Source organism: Homo sapiens, chromosome 5, assembly GCF_000001405.40.
Source record: "Homo sapiens chromosome 5, GRCh38.p14 Primary Assembly".
Classification (NCBI taxonomy): Eukaryota; Metazoa; Chordata; class Mammalia; order Primates; family Hominidae; genus Homo; species Homo sapiens.
The window spans coordinates 70,611,847-70,635,289 of record NC_000005.10 but is presented as its reverse complement, the minus strand read 5'-3'; the positions used below and the strand labels follow the sequence as shown (position 1 = coordinate 70,635,289).

Here is a 23,443-nt window from a genome sequence, read left to right as displayed (position 1 = left end):
CTTCCTTAAGTATTTTATTTAGGCAAAAACTATAAAATGATGGAATGGAAAAAGAATTCTCAATGATCAAACCAAAGCAATTATATTTGATTCTGAATTTTAAAAGATTAGTCCATCAATTTATATTTAGAGGTTAGAAAACACATTCTGAGAGACAGAAAATTATATTACTTTTCTAACTTCCTGGAGAATATTGTGCTTTGTCAAATTTTACATTTATGAGAAGTTTTATATTAAAGCTATAAAATCTATCAGGGTAAGTTAATATGAGTATTTGAAAGTTTCACTGTTAAATTTATATTATCACATATTAAATGAAAGAACTGTTAACTGTGTACTGAATTCAAAAGTTAATATAGCTTCTCTCCTTTTTAAGAAATGGGACACAATATTAAAAAATTAAAGAGTTTTCAAATATTTATACTTAAATTTATATCTAAGGAATTATATATAGAATGCATACCTTTCAAGTAGATACTATTGTTGCTGTTAAGATTATTGTCAACAAAATTTAAATACACAGACTATTAAATAAAGAAATTAAAACAACAAAAAATAACCTCTAGGCCAGGTGTCCTGGTTAACCTGTAATCCCAGCACTTTAGAAGCTTGAGGCAAGAGGATTGCTTGAGACCAATAGTTTGAGACCAGCCTGAGCAGCAAACTGAGACTCTATGTGTATCAAAAAATGTTTTAAAAGTAGCCGGGTACTGAGGCAGGCACTTGTAATCCCAGCTACTTGGGAGGCTGAGGTGGGAGGTATGCTTGGGCCCAGGATTTTGAGGCTGCAGTGAGCTGTGATTGCACCACAGCCCTCCAGCCTGGGAGAGAGAGGAGACCTTGTTTCTAAAAACTAACTAAATAAACAATAATGTAAAAAATCTCTCTTTAGGTGTATGCTTCTCTTTGCCAGTGTTTAAGGGTTAAAAAAATCAATATGAGAGATTAACTAAAGTACCAATTTAGAGTTAAATGAGTGCATTTGCCACTTGAGTGCCGATTGCCTCGCATGACAGACAATATTAAGTGCTGATGACTTTAACTTTCACAAGTTTTATGCGATAGTGGGATAAATTTTTACTTAAAATGTGTTAAACTTCGGTTTAATTGCACTAATTAATGTCTCAATAGATATACTGTTGTATCTACCTCAAAATGCAAACACCAATGAAGTAATTCATCAGAAGACTTGATATGAATAAAGAATGGAACAGTAAAGTTGAAGATAAAAAACATAGAAATTGAATAACAAATACAAGTAAGAAACAAGAAGAGTGATAAATAGCAGAACATGGCATCCAAGAGCTGAAGGACAGCTCTGGATGCCTAACTTGAACGGATTCATGAAAGAGAACAAGGATGATAAATACTTAAAAACAAAATGAATGAGAATTTTCCAAAAGAAGTGAAGGCAATCAAATCGTAAATCCAAGAAACATTTCTAGAGATATAGGGGCTACGTAAACAAACTAAAAAAAAGGTAAAAAATTATATGAAGACAAACATAGTTGTGTTGTATGTATTATATAGTTAAATATACGTTATACACAGGCACGAAGAAAAGAAGTACAGGAAACCTGTCCTCAAGAACTATTTAACTGTATACTGGAAATTTTAACCAGTGTACTAAAGTAAGAAAAATAAACAAAAGGCATACAAATTGGATACGAAGAAATAAAACTCTATTTGATTCGTGGATGGTCTATGCACAGTATTCCATTATGTACAAAATAATTAAAATTATTAGCAGTGAAGCTGCTAGAAATAAATTGTGAGTACAAAATAATTAAAATTATTAAAAGTGAAGCTACTAGAAATAAATTGTGAGTTTTGTAATTTCACACTATGCACTATAACACTATAATGTTAATATACAGAATTATTTTTTATATATAATTGTTGCAGGAAAAACCCAGACCTGTGTAGAAGAACATCCTTCTGCCAAAGAGATAGTGCTGAAATAACAAAGAAGGACTCAGACAAGTCCAGCTTCACGAGAAGATGAGTTTATTAGGACTTACGTAAAGGGCAGCGGGATAACTCCAGAGATCCGCCTGCTGCCCACCATCTTCCTCTAAGCTGCTTTTAAGCTTCTTTTCTCTTCTCTTCTCTTCTCTTCTCTTCTCTTCTCTTCTCTTCTCTTCTCTTTTTTTCTTTTCTTTTCTTTTCTTTTCTTTTCTTTTCTTTTCTTTTCTTTTCTTTTCTTTTCTTGACGGAGTCTCGCTCTGTCGCCCAGGCTGCAGTGCAGTGGCGGGATCTCGGCTCACTGCAAGCTCCGCCTCCCAGGTTCACGCCATTCTCCTGCCTCAGCCTCCCGAGTAGCTGGGACTATAGGCGCCTTCCACCACGCCCGGCTAATCTTTTGTATTTTTAGTAGAGACGGGGTTTCACCACGTTAGCCAGGATGGTCTTGATTTCCTGACCTCGTGATCCGCCCGCCTTGGCCTCTCAAAGTGCTGGGATTACAGGCATGAGCCACCGCGCCCGGCCAAAGCTACTTTTCTGGCTCTTTGCTTACTACATGTGATGAAACTGTTCTTCTTGGTATGTACCTAGATATGCTCCCGGATGTTTTGGTTTTCAGCGACATCTGCTCCTCGGCTGAGCACCATGAACTTTGCTCACCATCTAGCCTTCAGGACTCAAGCAGTCAACATATGCCCTTAAATTCCCTGTTGGGGGACCCGCTACTTTACAACACTATTAATGAACAATTGGAAATTAGAATTTTTTAAAGTTACATTTAAAGTAGCACAAGAAACATTAAATTCTTAATCTAAAAAAACATGGAGAAAGGGTAACAAAAACTAAAAAAAACACTGGTAAAAGAAATCAAAGAAGAAGTAATTAAGTAAAGAGCTTGGTAGCCAATATTGACAATAAATTAAGTCTGTTCAAACCAATCAAAAAATTCAATACAAAAATTCAATCCAGTTAAAATTCCTAACAGGATATTTGCAACTAACAAACAAGCTCATTCTAAAACTTTCAACAGAGAAGCAAAGGAATTATAATGGAAAAATCATTTTGACAATAAAAAAATTGAAGAATCCACTGATTTATATGTATACTATATACATATATGTAATATACATATGTATATCTGTTGGTGACTTTAACCATATGATTCATAATTTCAAAAACTGGTGAATAGTCAAAAAGTTATATACTGTATCTATTTAATATCACGTTAGGAAGAAAAAGAAACAAATCTGATAACATAACAACATGAATGTGTCTCAGATTTATTATGCTATTTAAAAAGCCAGATTTAAAGGCCTATTCAGGATGCTGTTTGCTCCCTTGTGTATGACATTCTAGAAAATATAAAACCATAGGGACAAAGAACAGCGATTTCCAAAGACTGAGGGCAGCAGAAATACTGATTCAAAAGGCACAAAAGGGAATTTTTCTAGGTGATGGTACTGTTCTATATCTTGAGGATGGTATTTGTTATATAACCATCTATGTTTTCAACACACTGCATACTTAAAAAGATGACTTTTGGCATATATAAATTTTAATTCGATAAACCTGAGTTTTTAAAACAAAGATTTTCTGTAACCAGTAGACTCATAACACTGTCTTCCTGCCATTGACTAAGATGGTTTCGATAGTGCATTCCTCTTGTTCATGCCAGCCAATGTGTCTTTTGTTTAACCAAAACCCTTGAAATATCTTTGCCTCAGGCTTTTATTGCAATTTCCTGTAATTTAAAGACTTCACCCTCCTATTCACAGGAGTTAGTATCTTGAAATGGTAATAACTTGAAAACAGCTATGGTGGGAGGACTTACTCTTTGAAGTGTAACTTACATACATGCAGCATACACCATGTATCAAGACTTTCTTTTTTTCTGGTTTTTTTTTTTTTTTTTTTTTTTGAGATGGCGTCTCACTCTGTTGCCCAGTCTGGAGTGCAGTGGTGTGGTCTCAGCTCGCTGCAACCTCCACCTCCCTGGTTCAAGCGATTCTCCTGCCTCAGCCTCCTGAGTAGCTGTGACTACAGGCACCATGCCACCACGCTGGGCTAATTTGTGTATTTTTTATTAGAGACGGGGTTTCACAATATTGGCCGGGCTGGTCTCGAACTCCTGACCTTGTGATCCACCCGCCTTGGCCTCCCAAAGTGCTGGGATTACAGGCGTGAGCCACCGTGCCCAGCCGACTTTCTTTTCATTTGGATCACTAGTTTACCAACATCACTGCCTTTACCCAACTCTATTAACAATTATTTAACCTAGTTTATCAAGTCACTTGTCAAAATAGAGATTTATATTGTTTATATATGTAATATTTTACAAATCTGTATTTTTGTACTTCACTATCTAATTAAACCTTTGGGGTAACTTTTATGTGTATCCCAAATAGGACAGGACAGTCATTCATTTCTTATAATGTATCAGCTAATTTCAAGGAGACATCGGAATTTTTGTGGAGACATCGGAATCTGAAGAGCAAAGTGATTCAAATTGGGTCACAGATTAAATAATTTTTAAAATGTTTACTTTAAATATCTTAAAAAACTTTAAGGAGAAAATTAATTTTTCTATATTGTTCTTGGCCTTAAAATATACATTAAGCATTAGTTTTCTGGCTTTTGATGTTTTTCATAAAATTAGCTCAAAAAATGCAAAAAGCTTGTATGAATATATAAGGGCCTTTGTAATCATATTGTAATTGCTTGACATAGTTAATTTCTTGATTTCTGACTCTGGCATCTGAGTTTCATAATTGTTATGTAATTACTCTATTTTTTTAAATCATGTTTTTAAATGGAAGTTTCAGTCTCAGATCTTTTCTATTTCATGCAATAAATAATTTTTAGCAGTAAAGAATTATTTGGCAATAAATATTTTTTGAGACGTCATGCTCCAATGATATAATTTAGTCCACTTTCTGCTTGAAAATATGCAAAGAAGAAATCTCTTGTTGGTATTAATTTCAGAAGTCGTCTTTGCACACACAATGATGATCATTCTGTTTTCCTTAGATAATTCATGGTAGTGTAACCCAATAATATAATCTTAGATGTGTAACTTACATACATGCACGTGGCACATGAAGCATGTGGTGTACTGAGATGAAAATAAGCTTGTAAAAGTCATTGGTTACCTAACTGCGGCTTGGTACCTAGCACACCCTACCTGCAACGGTCCCAACAGTTACACTGGCTCTATTTGACTTAGATGATGTAGGGGTGGGTTCAAAATCCCTCTCTTTTTCCTAATTACATACGACTGAGCATCCCTTCCCTTGTCTCAATCTGGGATTTTGAGAGTTTATTATAAGATCCCCAGTGAAAATCCACCCAGGTGGTTCTTCCCTACCCTCTTTAAATGTTCACACCCTAGTGTGAACAAGCTAGAAGTGGATTCTTTGAGGCAGTGACAACAGACCATGTTCAACTTCTACACTCCTTGATGTTTGTGTATTGGAAGAAGGTGTGACAAGATGCCAGGCACCAGAATTTCAGGTTGGTCTTTATGGAATTCTTGAACTCTAGGGCTGCATCCCTCCCTATAATGAGGCAAAGTTGGGGAAGTAGAAAGTTCAATGCAGCCTATGATTTTTACCTCATGGTTTTCTATAACCTAATACATATCACATTAAATTATGTGTTAACTGGTGAGCATTCAAATTAATAGAGCATGCTGTACCAAAATATTGTCATTATTTTGGTTATTGTAAATTATATATGGCCATGATCAGTGCTATAGGGCAAGACTATATCATTTTTTACTTCTAGGCTAAAAGGATTATGTTCCTACACATGAATTATGTAACTTTTTAAAAAAAAATAGTGATATTTTTCTATTAGAAGTTAAAGCAATTAGTTCTTTACAACATTGGCTACGTACTCAAATCAACTGATTCCTGGGTTTCCCCTCAATCCAAGTAAATTAGGCAGAGAGCAAAACTAAGGAACAGTATTTTCAAAGCTGACCAGGATTGACAATGACTGGTATTCAAATAGCTGTGAATTTGTGCAAATGTAGCAGAAGACAGCAAAGGGTTCTGGATATGCCAATTATTATTTATTTATTTTTATTATACTTTAAGTTCTAGGGTACATGTGCACAATGTGCAGGTTTGTTACATATGTATACATGTGCCATGTTGGTGTGCTGCAGCCATTAACTCGTCATTTACATTAGGCACATCTCCTAATGCTATCCCTGCCCCCTCCTCCCACCCCACGACAGGCTCTGGTGTGTCGTGTTCCCCACCCTGTGTCCAGGTGTTCTCATTGTTCAATTTGCACCTATGAGTGAGGATATGCGGTGTTTGGTTTTCTGTCCTTGCGATAGTTTGCTCAGAATGATGGTTTCCAGCTTCTAGAACTGGAAAAACCATTTGACCCAGCCATCCCATTACTGGATATATACCCAAAGGATTATAAATCATGCTGCTATAAAGACACATGCACACATATGTTTATTGCGGCACTATTCACAATAGCAAAGACTTGGAACCAACCCAAATGTCCATCCATGATAGACTGGATTAAGAAAATGTGGCACATATACACCATGGGAATACTATGCAGACATAAAAATGTATGAGTTCATGTCCGCTGTAGGGACATGGATGAAGCTGGATATGCCAATTATTATTAAAATAATTTTTGGGTTAAGCTGATTTTTACTTTTCTGAAAGAAAGATCCAAACACAATGCCTATAATAAATCTTAGAAATTGTCTGTCTCCATTGGTGAGATTAGTCAGTATAAACACTAACATATATAAATAAAACTAAACAACAGTTACTCTTTTCCATAATGTTATGCTTTTGTGTTCAATGAAATATTTAATTTAATTACTAAATTTCTAGCATTTCTCTGAAGGATAAAACAAATAAGCAAACAAACAAAGTAACAAGAAAAACCCAAAATAACTTCAATGAATTAAAACTGTCTAGTGCTACCTTTCCTATAATTATTGTCACCAAATAAAGTGCCTATTGGACAGAGATGGCTGGTTCACTGCAATCTCCATTGACCCTTTCGCCATCAGTAAAAATGTCCTCTAATGCTTAGCCGGACACATGATCACCAGGAATAAATGCTATATTCCCAATCTTTTCTTAACATAGGGCATGACACATGTGACCAATTTCTGACCTATGTTGTGTAAGGGGAAGTAACGCGTGTAACTTCTGAGAAGCTGACTTACATGCAGGGGGCATGTCCTATCTCTGTGCTTTCTTCCTTCTTGGAAAGGCAGCTCTGATGGCTAGATCTGGGGCAGCCATGGGGCAACATGAGAAGCAGCAGTACTTGGAGGTGCAAAGCAACAAGATAATAGCCATCTGGATTTCTGATGATCATGAAGACATCATATCTGAACTGGGGTGTCTGCATATCCCTGAGAGGCAAAAAATGTCTATATTGTTTCCGTGAGTTCTTAGCCTACACTGCACATACGAGTTATCAGAGAACTTTCAAAATTTATCAAATGCCCAGTCCTATTAAGGTATCTGGAAACTTATTCTTGGCCTATAATTTTCCACTGGGTCAACTATAACCCAGGTTTATCTGTCTTCTATATCCAGAGACTGTACCCTGCTCCTATGCAGTCTTGCTCTCTCCATAGCTTCATATGTGCAGCAGAACTCACCCTCTGCCTTCCATAACCAGGAGTGGGGCGCTACCTTCCCTCACCTGACTCCTGTGCTGCAGAAACTTGCTAAGAAACACGGAGCATATGTTTCAGACTCAGAATAAAATTATTTTTACAGTCACCAAGTTTTAGAGATTCTGATTTAGTGTATCTGGGTGTGTCCAGGGTACCAGTGTGCTCCCTTCTCACTCAAATGAAAATTACTGGAACATGATGTTATTTGGTATTCAGTTACACAAAGCTGAGTGTAACTGATTGGTTAATAGTAAAAGTTTTGATTTCAGTAAAATAGTTGAATTATTCTAAACCATAACTTTGTAGCTACATGATTTGGGTGAGATGATTTTTTTTTTTTTTTTTTGAGAAGGACTCTCGCTCTGTCACCCAGACTAGAGGGCAGTGGTGTGATCTTGGCTCACTGCAACCTCCTCCTCATGGGTTCAAGTGATTCTCCTGCCTCAGCCCCCCGAGTAGCTGGGATTACAGGTGTGCACCACCATGCCGGACCGGTTTTGTACTTTAGTAGAGATGAGGTTTCACCATGTTGGCCAGGCTGGTCTCAAACTCCTGATCTCAGGCGATCCACCTGCTTTGGACCCCCAAAGTGCTGGGATTACATGAGTTAGCCACCACACCCTGCCTGAGATGATGTTTTTGAGCCACAGTATTCCCATCAGTAAACCGGACATACTAATTGTAATTTCAGGTATTTTTGTGACACATATATTGTTGAAATTATTATTATTAAATTACTGACTTTAATAATACATTCTTAAATTAGTTATTATTATAATAACATAATTAATATTGAAAGCAGTTTATAAACTTGCGTGGTGCTAGGGGGCACTACAATGTAAAGGAATTTATGTAATAAAAGTAAAGATGCAACGTTTGATTTTATTTTTCATGTTTTGTAATGCAAAAATTAACTGTCCTTTTATTTAAATTACAGCACATGCAAATTAACTTTTAGGTATATAATTATTCTGAATTATTTCAGAAAACTATTATGGTCTCATCACTGGATTAAAAAATGTAATAATATTCTCAGTTTAAAGAAAATGCACAGGTTTTAAATCCTCTGTGATAAGGGCCCATGAACTTGGAGCTGCTGATTTTTTTTTTTTTTAATTTGCAGGGTTTTTACATAACAAATTATCAGAAACCAAAGCACCCAGATATCAGACTATGAATAGAAAACATCTTTCCTGAACAAGTACAGGCTTTATTACTTAATTGTATTTACACTGATGAGTGCACACAAAGAAAAATCAATTTGTGGGAGTTTATTTCATTGGTATTGAAATTGTATCTTCCTTGAAAAACTTGGCACACAGTGCCTAGTTTGTCTCCCAGTTCATTATATTATTATTTTACTATATTCTGTGCTGTTATGTAGTTTTATATGGGCTCACTAGTTGAGTGTTCAAAATTGCTTTTCTGAACTATAGAATATTAACTTCCAGTATTTACCAAAAAAATGTTATTTATTAAAAAAATCACAATAAAAGGGCATAAAATAAATATAAATACTCAACATTTTCAAGGTTCTTGTGGAATCATTCTGAAAGCATTAAAAGGAGAGGCTGGAAATCTGCGTTTATAATATTGGTCATTTCCCTACCTACTTAATAGTAACATTAAAGCTTCCTCAGTATGCTTTCTGAAACAAGTAAAAATGTTCTTTTACCTTAACTTATACTGTGGAAAATCTCAAAGGAATGCTAGAAAACCATTCCAATGTACTCACCCAAACAACACAAAATACCCACACCTTCTCCAATTCAAACAATCATTTAATTAATCGAAAGAGCTGAGATGCACTCCCTCTCTACCTCATAAGGGCTTCCATCATGAACTTGATTGTGTCCTAAATTCAGTCCTCCAGGAGAAGCTCATCACCCTCCCCATGTCCTGAATGTCAGAATCCAAAGCTGGAAACTGCATCCTACTTAATCTTTATGTTTTTTGAAAAAGTTTATCTTTCTTCCCGGGAATAAAAACATCTATTCTCTGAGGCACATGTAAGCATTTATCCTTCAGTATAATGAACTTTTTTAGTCATATTGTTAATGACAAGCTTACATAAATTTTTTTCTGCTCCCACCTTCAAAGCTCCAAGCCCTGTATTCTTACAGGATGATATTCATAAACTATTCGACCTTAGCTTCCCTCCACTTAAGCCTTTCTTGCTCAGAATCACTCCTTTTATTAGTTATCTGTTGATGCTTAACATATTACCTCCAAAACTTAGTGGATTAAAACAACAAACATTCATTATGCCAACTTCTCTGGGTCAGGAACTATATCAGAATTAGTAAGGCCCTCTAGCTCAAGGACTCTCATAAGGCTGCCATCATTTAAAAGCCTTACTTAGGGAAGATTCACTTCTAAGATTAATCATGTGGCTGGGGGCAGTCCCCAGGTCCTTCCTTGCTGGCTGTGACTGGTGACACTGGCTCCGTGCTATGTGGACTTCTTAATAGGCAGCGCCCAACATAGAAGTCAGCTTCCCTTACAATGAAAGAGAGAGAGAGGATTCCCAAGACAGAAGCCACAGTCTTTGTGCAATCTAATGTTGGAAGTGATATCCATCACTTCTGCCACAGTCTATTTGATAGTGAAGTGAGATAAATTCAACTAGGACAACAGAGTAGAAGATTCCTCAAGGAGTTACCTCTACCAGGGGTACAAGTGACATGGAGCAATTTTAGAGGCTGCTTACCAAACCCATGAAATGTATAATGACAAAACATGATATTCCTCTTAAATGACTAAATAAGCACACCACTCTTTGATCAATCTCCTGTCTGTTCAGTGTGGCAACAATTCCCACTGCAGCTGTTCTCCTGCCTCACTAGGACTTTCAATCCACTGGTGCCTCAGCCTTTGCCTATAGCATTATGATCCTCCTGCGGTCAGTTACTCCCACAAGCAAACTAACAATGGCTCTTCTCAACACTGGCTTTATGTTAGAATTGCCTGAGGAGGTTCCAAAGATACATATGAGTGCCTTGGCCCCAATTGAGATTGGCTGACCCAGTGTCTCTGGGACCTGGCATTCTATTATGATACTAATATGCAGCAATAGTTGGGAATCGATATTGTAGATTCAATTACTGAATATTTTAAAATGTAATTGCCAGTAACATAAAACCAGAATTGACATACTGCTTCCCTTGGGCTAAATACAATCCATCACCTATTTTTTAAATAAATTCTTATTGGAACGCAGCCACATTTTCTTATTGTCCATGGTTGCTTTTGCAGAACATGGGAGAACTGAGTACTTCCTACAGAGACAATATGGCTCACAAAATAAAAATATTTACTATCTGGCCCTTTGCTTAAAAAAAATTAATGAGTTTTGACCTATCCCCTTTCACATCTTCATTTTTCTCTCTCTCTTTCTCCCTCTCTCTCTCTCTCCCTCGGTTGCTTTTGGTTTTGTCCTTTTTAGAAGCACATTGCAACCTCTTCTCTAGATGAACTCAACTATCTGATTTCTGCATATTTCTCAGTCCATGACTGCTGCTGAAGAATGCCATGCAAGAAAACAAACTGATAATATTTTAAGACAATGATCACCATTGGAAACCGGGTTTTCAATTGTGCCTGACATAACTTTTTCAATCTCTACAATCCTCTAATTTCTGACACTCTCTTCTCCCTTCTCACTTCTCTCTCTCTGCAGATGACTTTGCTACTGCAACACAGAGAAAATATAAGTCTTTATACTCATAGTCTTTCAACTACCTGGCACTAAATCAATATACCTGTCTCCATTTGCAACTATTATCTTTCTCCCTGATCCTGTCAAGATGATCTTACTCTTTGTTGTAGGCTACTTTCCTCCTCTGACTTCAGAATTAGTTCTCACCTGACATTAAGAGGAAATTTACATTGTTACCAATTTCTCTACTGAAAATCCAACTTTTTATTTCCACGTAGATGCTTCCCATCGTGGTTTCCATGGACTTTATTGTCTCAATGATTGTCATTTTAGATCTATAACTCTTTTTCTGAGCTTTGGGTCTATATAAGCCAAATTTCTGCTCAACGGAGCAACCATATCCCCACTTTAATTGGACAAGTCTCTCCAGAAAATAAATCTCCTATTTCCTGTTGTGTTAAATGAAGAATAATTACTAAGGTATTCAGTAATGATAAAGAATCTGGGAATTTAACTGTTCTTGATATGAAATTTCAAACTACACACTTTTTTTTTTTGGGAAGCCAAACCCACCTCCAGCATTTTATTCCCACACATGATAAGCTTGTCCAAGGTGTGTGTGGTTTGGATGACTTTATATTTTGTTAGCTTTCCTCTTCCCTCTACATATGGACACTATGTTTTGTCAAAAGGAAACGTGTACACTGGTTGCTTGTTAAAAATAGCAAGGAAGACTATTCAGGACTATAGCAATGGGGGAATAATATAGCTATAGTAGAGAGAGATTGAACTAAAATTTCTCCCAGCATGGAGCTGGAAATTTATAAGCAAAGAGCTGAGGGAGTGAGTCAGTGGATAGAAACTAATTAGATATTAAGGGTGGCGGGGGGTGGGGTGGCGGGGAGCGGGGTTCTTGCTAAACTGCATTATTGCTAAAGGCATGCCAAAGTGATAAGATATCCAGGGCGAAGTGATTCTCAGTGAACTGGCTTAGCAGGCGTCTTTGTTAAACTGGGCCTGAGAAGAGGGACTGGAGAAGAATGATTAAACTTTGGTCAAGATGGGAATCTGTCAGTTTTGGCCTTCTCTAATCTATGTGGTTACGCTGCTCGAGAGCTTGCTAAGATGTATTCAAGAAGGCTAGTGTATTAGCTTGTTCTCACACTGCTGCTATAAAGAAACACTTGAGATGGGGTAATTTATAAAGCAAAGAAGTTTAATTGGCTCGCAGTTCTGCAGGCTGAACAGGAAGCATAGCAGCATCTGCTTCTGGGGAGGCTAAAGGGAGATTTTACTCATGGCAGAAGGCAAAGTGGAAGCACGAATCTTGCGAGGCAGAAGCAGGACTGAGAGGAAGAGAAAAGGTGCCACACACTTTCACCAACCATATCTCATGAGGATGCTATCATGATACAGCATCAAAGGGGGAAATCTGCCCCCATGATCCAGTCACCTCCCACAAGACCCCACCTCCAACACTGGGGATTACAATTCGGCATGAGATTTGGTAAGGGACACAGATCCAAATCATATCAGCTAGTAATAAAGTGTATTAAGATTTAGGAGTTGATATGGTTTGGCTGTGTCCCCACTCAAAATCTCATGGTGAATTGTAAACCCCATAATCCCCACATGTCAAGGGAGAGACCAGGTGGAGGTAATTGAATCATGGAGGTGGTTTCTCCCAAGCTGTTCTCATGACAGTGAGTGAGTTCTCTCGAGATCTAATGGTTTTACAACTGTTCGGCAAGTTCCTCCTCCCATCCTTCTTTTTCCTGCCATTTTGTGAAGAAAGTGCCTGCCTCCCTTTCACCTTCCACTACGATTGTAAGTTTCCTGAGGCCTCCCCAGTCATAGGGAACTGTGAGTCAATTAAACCTCTTTCTTTTATAAATTACTCAGTCTCAGGTATTTTCATATAGGAATGTGAGAAAGGACTAATACAGGAATCTTCAAGGACATCCCATCCAAATTAAAAGTTGTGTATCACTTGCTTCTTTGACCTCATCTACTGTATTAATTACATTTATATGTATATACACACACACACACACACACACACATATGCAAACATATATATATATCAGCTTTACTAAATGGTCTCTATATTCTCAGTTTTATTGTTTCATTAGGAAAAGAAATTGGCTGGGATATTGGTAACAGTATATTTCTGCTTATGCTGTAATACCCAAGTTGAAACATTTGATAGAAATTGATTGATGCTTGTTACCTGATGTTTTAAAATAAGGGCTAAATAGTTATATATCTCAATATTATCGTTATCCTGGATGTGACAGGGTACAGATGTGACAATGCATGTTTTTATAGTGTGTTCTACTGGTGATTCAAATAACTAAGGTATTGCCATTGGCAACATAATTTTTGTAAATATTGAAAGACTCTGGGAAGTTTCTACAATAAAAAGACTTTTTCTCTTCAATTTCCGTAGTGGTTGCATTCTGAAAAATTTAGTTTGTATTAAGCCATTCAAAGTATTTACATGTAAAATATTCATTTCTTGACTAAATAATTACAGATGATCACTTACGTGGCTATCCATTGGGGCATTTGATGGGAATATTTTTTACAATGTAGGATCGCAGGATATCTAGTATTGTTTGTCCTCACATTGGAAATACAATTACTGCCTTCTGATCGTTTTGACAATGGAGACACTCAAGCATTTCTAAACAGAAAAAGCTGGTACAAGCACACTTGAAGCACAATACATCTGAAAGGCACATGAAGAGTTCAATAAAATGTTTAACAACTGAAAAGACTGCAGAAATAAATTTAAGTATTCTGTCTATACTAAAATCCAAATGTAAATTATATTAGAGTTGCAGCTATTTAATACGCTATTTCAGCATTCACATGCTATTTTCTTTTTCTATTCAGATGTTTTTTCCACTGCCAGACACTTTCTAACAAGTCCTTCAAACCCTCTTTATAATAACTTATGAAAATATTTGTTACATTATGCTCAATGATTTCCTCAATTAAAATGATATATAAAATAAGAACAAGTGAGAGGAAAAAAACATAGTTTGTGCATCTGTTTTGTGATAAATATAGTAGTTAGATCTATTTTATATAAGTTTTCTCATTAAACCCACATCAAACTTTTTCTCCTGTATTTTTTAAATGGAAAATGTGAGGTTGATAGGAGTTAATTAACTCTACTAATAGCTGACGGAAATGAAACTATCATTACTGAGAACTATGGTTGGTTTTTACAATTATTTCATTTTTTGTTGGTTTGTTTTTGTTTTTGTTTTTTGAGATGGAGTTTCGTTCTTGTTGCCCAAGCTGGAGTGCAATGGCGTGATCTCAGCTCACTGCAACCTCTGCCTCTTGGATTCCAGTGATTCTCCTGCCTCAGCCTCCTGAGTAGCTGGGATTACAGGCACGTGCCACCACGCCCAGCTAATTTTGTATTTTTGGTAGAAATGGGGTTTCTCCATGTTTGTCAGGCTGGTCTCGAACTCCCAACCTCAGGTGATCCACCCACCTCCGCCTCCTAACGTGCTGGGATTACGGGTATGAACCAGCATGCCCGGCCAATCTATATCTTTTAAGTGTGAAATGCTTTCAGAAAAATATTTCAACCAAAAGGGAGAAATGTGGAAGTTGTGAGCACCAAAATGGAGTCACTTACATCAAACCATAAAAAAATGAAGCTGGGAGGCCATGAAAGAGGGGCCTTCATGTACATATGTCTATAATAAGAACTGCTGCAATGGTTCTCTCAAAAACCACGAAAATGTTAGATATGATAATTCTATGAAGACATCTCTCCAGCAACAGCCAATATTATCAATGAGTATTTGCCAACTCTTGTAACAAGCTTCTCTGGCCCATGAGGTTTATTACAAAACTTACATAAAATTTCTCTTTTAAGATTTTTGCCTTCCTGATATGGTTTAGATTTGTGTCCCCACCCAAATCTCATGTCGAATTGTAATCCCCAATGTTGGAGGAGGGGCTTGGTGAGAGGCGATTGGATCATGGGGGTGGATTTCCTCCTTGCTGTTCTTGTGATAGTGAGTTCTCATGAGACCTGCTTGTTGAAAAGTGTGTGGTATTTCCCCTTTGCCCTCTTCCCCCTGCTTCGGCCATGTAAGACGTGCCTCCTTCCTTTTTGCCTTCTGCCATCATTGTAAGTTTCCTGAGGCCTCCTCCAATCATGTTTCCTGTACAGCCTATGAAATCATGAGTCAATTAAACCTCTTTTCTTTATAAATTACCAAGTCTCAGGTAGTTCTTTGTGCTAGAACAAACTAATACAGTCCCTCAGCTTCTTTGGTGCCTAAGGTCCACCATAGCATGTGTATTTCAAATTGCAATTTACTGCTATTTCCTGAATACACTCCACTCTTTATTTTAGAGAGTCAGTATCTCTGTTGTTTAAGTTGACATAATCTAATGTCAGAAGCAAGATGCAAAGGCTCCAAGCCTTCTTTGTTACTTACAGTTACAGCACTGTTATCCAAACAGTAACAAAGAAAGCCTTTGGAAGGCTTTCAAGTATCTGGCGATACTTGAAATTGTGTATGATACTCACCTGAGCCTATTGTGATCTTCACTTGTACAAGTTGTCTTTATGCTGCGAGATAAGTCCTCTCTTGGTTTGAGCTCCCACCTTTTCAGTGAACTCTTACATTTTGGGGGATCTGCTCTTGTAAAGGACATCCTTTCTGGTGAGTATTCTTTTGGTTTAATTTTTGGTTTGGTTATTTGTGCATGAATTTAATCTCATTAGGAAACAAGTTAAGTTGAATAGACCAACTAGTGAATTAATCCGTCTCCAAAATATATGTTTTTGGCATTTACCTGTTTATTTTGAAACTCTTTGTAAGAAATGTAAACCTGTAATGATAATCTCTGCTTTGTAAGGATATCTCCCTCTCTGACACCTAAAACACTAGATGCTTTCACAAAGCAAAAGGAAGAGACCTAAATCTATCTATCTGTGTAAACTCACCCTTGACCATTTCATTCTGAAGGCTTCCTATATATGCTTTTTTTCATCTCAACAAATAGTGGTGTTTAAGTTCTGTACCTTTGAGATTTAAATTTTCTACATTCCTTCACCTAAAAATCATCTCTTTGGAAGTACAAATTTTGGGTGGCCTAACTAACACTTGTTTATGGGCCAATTGAACAGATCATTAAAAGACAGATAGTCTGAAAGAGGGAGTAAAACTACTTGCAAGCCAGGCAAATAACAATTCTTAATGCAAGTTGTAAGTTCTTCCTCTGTCTGTATTTTTCTACGTGTGTGTGTGTGTGTGTGCGTATGTACAATTTTTTCTACCAAAATTCATAAACGGCTCTACTTAATTGGCTTACAGAGAAAACATAAGTGTTTAAACTAAGAATTCTCTCAGAAAAACAGAAACTCAATTGCCTTTTGGCTTATGTGATGAAATAATCTTTGGCAGACAAAGCTAGTTTTAAAATTTGTTGGCAAAATAAAAACAAATATTTTCAGAATTGTCAGCATTAATTACAATGTACAGATACAGTTTTTAAACCTAAAGTTACTGGTGAAACAAGCTTGCTATTACTGAGATGTATAATGAATGTCTTAAAGCTATAAATCCACTCATCGTTGTGTTTAAGGAGGAACTGAAGCACAATTGTTAAGAACAAGTGAATTAGGTGAATATACATTGACAAAAGGTTGATAATAAAGTTGTCAGAATTTCAAAAATAATTTAGTGTGACTTGAAATCTTAAAATCATGTTATATTAAATTAAGTAACACTTTACTGATTTAATATTTGAGTCATTTCTAAGGAAAATACTGAAATATCAATTGCTTAACAGAAGTTTAAAATATACATAATTTGGCATCTTGGTTTCACATGTTATGGAAAAGCTAAACATATTTGGGCCTGTTAATTAAAGGCATAAAAATTATTTTATGAGATGGTGTTCATCTGCAAAATACTAACATGATGCACTTCAAAATGCTTACTAATTTTCACTAGAAATTAAGGTTACTAAGAGTTAATTAAAATTAATATTAGAGTAATTTAAACTAGAAATAATGAAGGGAAACAAATCTGTACGCGAGGGAAGGAAAACACATAAAGAAAGTTATAAGTAAGAGGTTGTGTTTTTGTTAAGGGAAAAAGAGAGTATTTTTTGTCTAAAAGTAGAATGTCTTACTGTTCCAAAAAGAAAAAGAGAAAAAATATAGACAAAAACTGAATAAGATAACTGGATGACAAATTTATAGAAAGTTTGTGGAAGATTAATCTTGTGAAAAGAATTTTATGTGTGACCAAGTTGGCTAAAGTTAAAAGGAAATTATTTATAAATATTCTGAAAACTTGAGCATTATTATCAAAAGTACAGGAATGGAAAACTTGAAATTTGTCCCCTGTGCTGAAACAACAAGCTTTTCTTTGAGTATTGACCTGCTCTTAATAGAAAATAGTGAAATGTTTTCTCTACCTTTTAGATAACTGGCCTAATAAACCAAGATTTTTTGTTTATCAAGGTAATTTCTTATGCTTTATGCTCTCTTTTACTAGGTCTTTGATTACTTGAGAAAAGTGAGTGAGGTGGGGCCAAGATGGTTGACTAGAAGCAGCTAGTGTGTGCCACTCTCACAAATAGCAGAAAGAGTGGTGAGACACTAGCTCTTCAACCGGAACATCCAGGTGGACACATAAGGATTCATCAGTGACATAGTGTGACCTTCGGATCACGGAGAAGAGTGAGACAGATCAACCATTCACCCAGGAGTGGCACAGACCCAGGGGAATCCCCCTACAAGAAAATGGTGAGTGAGTGAGAGTCCCGTGGGATGCATATTTCTGCCACGAACCTTTGAATCCCTGGGCTCAGGAGATACCCCAGCTGGGGTCTCCAGACCAAAACAGAGAGCCATGTGGAGTCTGGGTAGAGCTGCTTCTTAGGTAGGTGTGGAGTCCCAGTAGCATTTGTTCCCTGGGTACCCCAAAACCAGGGGCTGCAGCTCCAGCAATTGGGAAGGCCAAGTTTTCTTGCACGCTCCCCAGAAAAGGGGCCAAGTCCATGGGGCTGAGCAGTGATAGACTGCAGACCTCACCACCACTGAACCTTGTAGGATAAGGCCCACTAGCCTGGGATGCTAGTGAGGCCACCCTAGTCCTCCTGAGTTCTCCAGCTGGGAGCAGCTCTACACTTCTCCGGCATGCAGCTTCCAAAGAGAGAGGCAGTCCACCTTTTTGCTGTCTCGCAACCCTCCCTCCTGCTGCTCTCAGGCTTGGGAGGGTGCACAGCAATTAGGGACTATCACAGAACCCCAGCACAGTGCATCTGGTGAACTTAAAAAAATCAACAAGTGAAAAACAAACAATCCCATTTAAACGTACACAAAGTACATGAACGGACACTTTCAAAGGAGGGCATACATGTGGCCAGAAAGCATATGACAAAATGCTCAACATCACTAATCATTAGAGAAATGCAAATCAAAACCACAATGAGATACCATCTCACACCAATGAGAATGGCTATTATTAAAAACTCAAAAAATAAGAGATGCTAGTGAGGTTGTGGAGAAAAGGGAATGATTATACAGTGATGGTGGGAATGTAAGGTAGTTCAGCCATTGTGGAAAGCAGTGTGGCCATTTCTCAAAGAACTCAAAGCAGAAGTGCCATTCAACTCATCAATCCTACTGTTGAGTATATACCAAAAGAAATACAAATCATTCTACCATAAAGACACATGCACGTGTATGTTCATTGCAGCACTTTTCACAATAGCAAAGACATGGAATCAACCTAAATGCCCATCAGTGGTAGACTGGATGAAGAAATGTGGTAGATATACAACATGGAATACTATGCAGCCATAAAAAGAATGAGATCATCTCTTTTCCAGCAACATGAGTGGAGCTGGAGGCCATTATCCTAGAAAACCCAATACCATATGTTCTCACTTATAAGGGGAGCTAAACATTGAGTACATATGGACACAAATGGAACAACAGACACTGGGCCTACTTTAGAGTGGAGGGAGGAAGGAGGATGAAAATTTAAAAATTACCTACTGGGTACTATGCTTATTATCTGGGTTATGAAATAATCTATACACCAAACCCCGTGACACACAATTTACCTATATAAATGCGTAAGTAACCCACATGTGTACCCCTGAACCTAAAATAAAAGTTAAAAAAAGAGAAAAGTAAATGTTCTCAGTATTAAAAAGCTATGTTTTTGTTGACAATTATGTAAATTTCTACATTTATTTTTTGAAATCTTTTAATTTTCATTTTGGTTACCTGTTATCGTACTCTGATAAAGTGTTTTAAACTGTTTGATGTTTTTGACAAACTTCCCAAAATAATATTTTAAATTAACTCTTTTTGCCCTCAAGTTAATTTTGATATTTCTCATTTGGACCCCTGGAAAGATCAAAGAATGTGTATCTCACATTGTAAAGAGATATATTAAACTAATGAGACTTACTTGATATATTAAATTATATAGGGAGTATTGTCAAATACTAAGTGGTGCTAAACCTTCTTTAAGTTGTATTTCAGAATGTTATTGATATGTGTTACAAAATTATATTGAATTCTTCAAAATCTGACATGTTATCGGTCATAATCTTGGTTATTATCTTCAAGTTTTGTATGCCACAGAAATAAACAAATTTCTTTGTCAATTACATTATTAGTATAATAAACTCCATGAGATTTTTAACCATGGCCACTCTAAGTCTGTCATCCACAGGGACCGACTGCTTTCATTCTTTTGTAAAAGCATTTGCCATCAGCTACAATAAAAAATTGCTTCTTCTCTGAAACTGATGATCCATTAAGGTTTAACCCATATACTCCTCTATATACCTCTACAGCCTCCCCAAATCAAGTTGATATATTCCCCTAGCAGTCTGTGCAATGGAGACCAACACTACATTCTTTTAGATTGTTTTAAATTACATTTTTGAACTTCCAGTTTATTACATACCAAGAGTTGATTACAACCTCCTTGTTTCATAAGTGGAAGCTATGTTAGGGTTGGATGTGGGTGCCATAATTTCTTCAAGGATCCCGGACAGAGACCCACATCAGGATCAGAAACCCTACGATAGCATTGCAGATCTCATGGCTCAATAATCCTTGAAGATTATAATTTTCATCCTACTATCAGTTGCACTTTCTGTCACTTTTACTGCATTAAGTCTCCCGGTATCAAACAGAGCTCTGTGGTGTCACTGACTGAGGAATGGAATAGAGATGTCCACAAGGGGTCTTGATATCATGACTGCACAGAGATGTGAAAGGAGAGACCACTTCCTCACCACCCAGCTACTTCACTTCTCTCCCGGTATCAGCCCTATAGTCGGACCTAGGCTTTCAGAAGTGTAAGTGTGCAAACAAGTTTCGGTTGGACTTTAAGAGGACACTTTGTCATAGAAGAAAATCCAGTATCTCTAAGCTGGTTTTCTTTTCAGGAAAACATCCTGAGGGACCAGTAAGCAGGGAGATCCTTTTTCTAGTTTGCCTGTAGAGTTAGGAAGACAGTTGATTTTTCAGTCTTTTACAGGATGCTTAAACAAAGCTGTGTAATTACATAAGGTGGATCTTTATCTTGCCTAAGAAGATAAAGTGGGAATCTTCACTCCGCCAGGGCAAATTTCCAAGGAGCTCATTTATTCCATGTCTTTCAAACTTTCATGAGATACATTTCTCTTTCACATTGTTGCTGATTTCCAAATAGCTGTCAGCTAGTTTTTTCCTCCCCCTTTCCTATTCTTCACTATTTTGATAGCAAAGCTCATAGAATTAGAGGACTTAGAAGATGCTTTGTAAACATTGCCACAAAGGAACTGCTGAAATGATTCACAGGAAGACTGGTCAGTTGGGAGAAAGATCCTAAAGATGTTACACTGGTTTTCAACAACATGCTTAGAGAATTCTTGAAGCAGATAGGTGTCAACCCAGTGAAAACAACATTTTGATTTATTTTTTTTTTAAGTTTATGGTGATTGTGTCGGTTTCTAAAATAAGCAAATATTCAAGTCAAGAGATGTTTTGTTTTTTCTTCTGCCAAGAATGGGGTTAGGGGAGCAAAGACACAATTTGGGAAAGGACATATGTGCTATTATAGGGATCACCTTTAAGTTTCTGGGAAGGAATGGGCACGGGTGAGTAGGTTGGCTCAACATTGTCCTGCACTGCTTATTAGGACCTGAGACATGCAAGGGAAATGTGGGTGACATCAGGGCACCCAGGGCACAGCCCCACTAACTGCTGTGCTGAGTTTCTGTAGCCTGCCACGTTTCCCTTGGTGAAGTAAATGAAGATCAAGGAGTCATTTTATGATGTCCTGGTGCTGAGAATAATAAATGTCTTGTTACAAACAGATGTAACAATGGTTTTTTTCTGGATTATTATCAGGGTGGTCAGCTCTGGGTTAAGCACCCACATCCAATTTGTACAATAATATTGATACATAGGGCTACGCTTATTACTGCTCAAGCATTCTGTTTTAATAATTGTGTTTTACTTCTAAAGGTTAAATAAAAGCAAAAAATGGGGCTAAACTATCAAACTGTTCCCCTATTTGTTTTCTCCAGTGTACAACATATATATGTATATATTTTATTTTATTGAAGATGCAGTAGGATACCTGCCATTTAAGAAAATAAATAGAAAATTTAAAATCCCAACAAATGAGAAAAAGAAATTCAGTACCCAAGAATAGGGCTGGTCCAGCACCACCCCGAAGTAGGCTGTGGTTTATGGACTGAAGAGCCTTGCTCCCTTTACATTCGCTCATGCTCCCACACAAGGCTAGCAGTAGAAATGCTTGAATTCTGCTTGGCTTGCCAAGGGGACTCAGGAGTCAACCAAGGGAACTATTTGGCTCCACGAGGAATGGACACCTCAGGATGCTTCCTGAACAGGGCCTAGTCAGGAAGTAGCCTGGATGTGCATAGTCATGGTCACCTTATGAAAATGTGTGGCAGGTGGCTCTCAGGAAAAACACCAAGCCTGGATCATCTGTGTGGCAGCTTTGCCTGGGGAGGTAACAGCTCCAAATTGAAACTGAACTGCATCCTACATGCTTTACCAAAGCAGTGATGAGAGTGATCAGTGCATGTGGTGTGAGTGGTAGGTTTAAAAAAAAGGGAATGTTTTACGCTCAGTGTTTCCTCTGTCTTTGGGCTACTCAATCTGGACAATAGGTAACCATTCTTTTCAAGGAATCAACCCAACTTTGCTGGCTTGGTTTGTGGTTTGTTTCATCCCTAGCTATGAGCATGCTTTGGTCTATAAACGTGGCTTGTCTCATAATACATTCCCTTTCTGTAATTTTTTAAATTTTTTATTTCCATAGGTTTTTGGAGAACATGAGGTATTTGGTTACATGAGTAAGTTCTTTAGTGGTGATTTGTGAGATTTTGGTGCACACATCACCCGAGCAGTATACACTGAACTCAATTTGTAGTCTTTTACCCCTCATGCCTTTCCCACTCTTTCCCTTGAGTCCCCAAAGTCCACTGTATCATTCTTATGCCTTTGCATCTGCATAGCTTAGCTCCCACTTAAGAGTGAGAACATGCAATGTTTGGTTTTCCATTCCTGAGATACTTCACTTAGAATAATAGTCTCCAATCCCATCCAGGTTATTATGAATGCCATTAATTCATTCCTTTTTATGGCTGAATAGTATTCCATTACATATATGTATTTATGCATATATATATATATACATATGCATATATATATACATATACACACACACACACACACACACACACACACACACACATAAATATATACCACAGTTTATTCACTCATTGATTCACGGGCATTTAGGCTGGTTCCACATTTTTGCAATTGCTAATTGTGCTGTTATAAACGTGCATGTGCAAGTATCTTTTTTGTGTAATGACTTCTTTTCCTCTGGGTAGATAACCAGTAAGATTGCTGGATCAAATGGTAGTTCTACTTTTATGAATTGTCCTTGTTTTTCTTTAAAAGTTAATACTTTTGATCACTATAGTTTGTTAGTGTTGGATTGTTTCCACTTTGAAATTTCTAAACTTTTTCCCTTCATAATGTTAAAACAAGTTATGTTAGATGCCCTTTCAACATGAAAGGTCTGTAGTTAAGATATTACATATATTTT

At 37.1% G+C, this 23,443-nt stretch overlaps 1 long non-coding RNA gene across 2 annotated transcripts in view; it reads left to right on the top strand.

Moving 5' to 3' along the window:
* LOC107986355 (uncharacterized) overlaps window positions 1-18,480 on the top strand; it is a 102,717-nt gene extending 84,237 nt beyond the window's left edge. For both annotated transcript variants that reach the window (XR_001742421.3, XR_001742420.3), the window contains one exon: window positions 17,840-18,480. This is a non-coding gene — a long non-coding RNA (uncharacterized LOC107986355). The remainder of the gene's footprint in view (window positions 1-17,839) is intronic.
* Window positions 18,481-23,443: the final 4,963 nt, after the last annotated feature.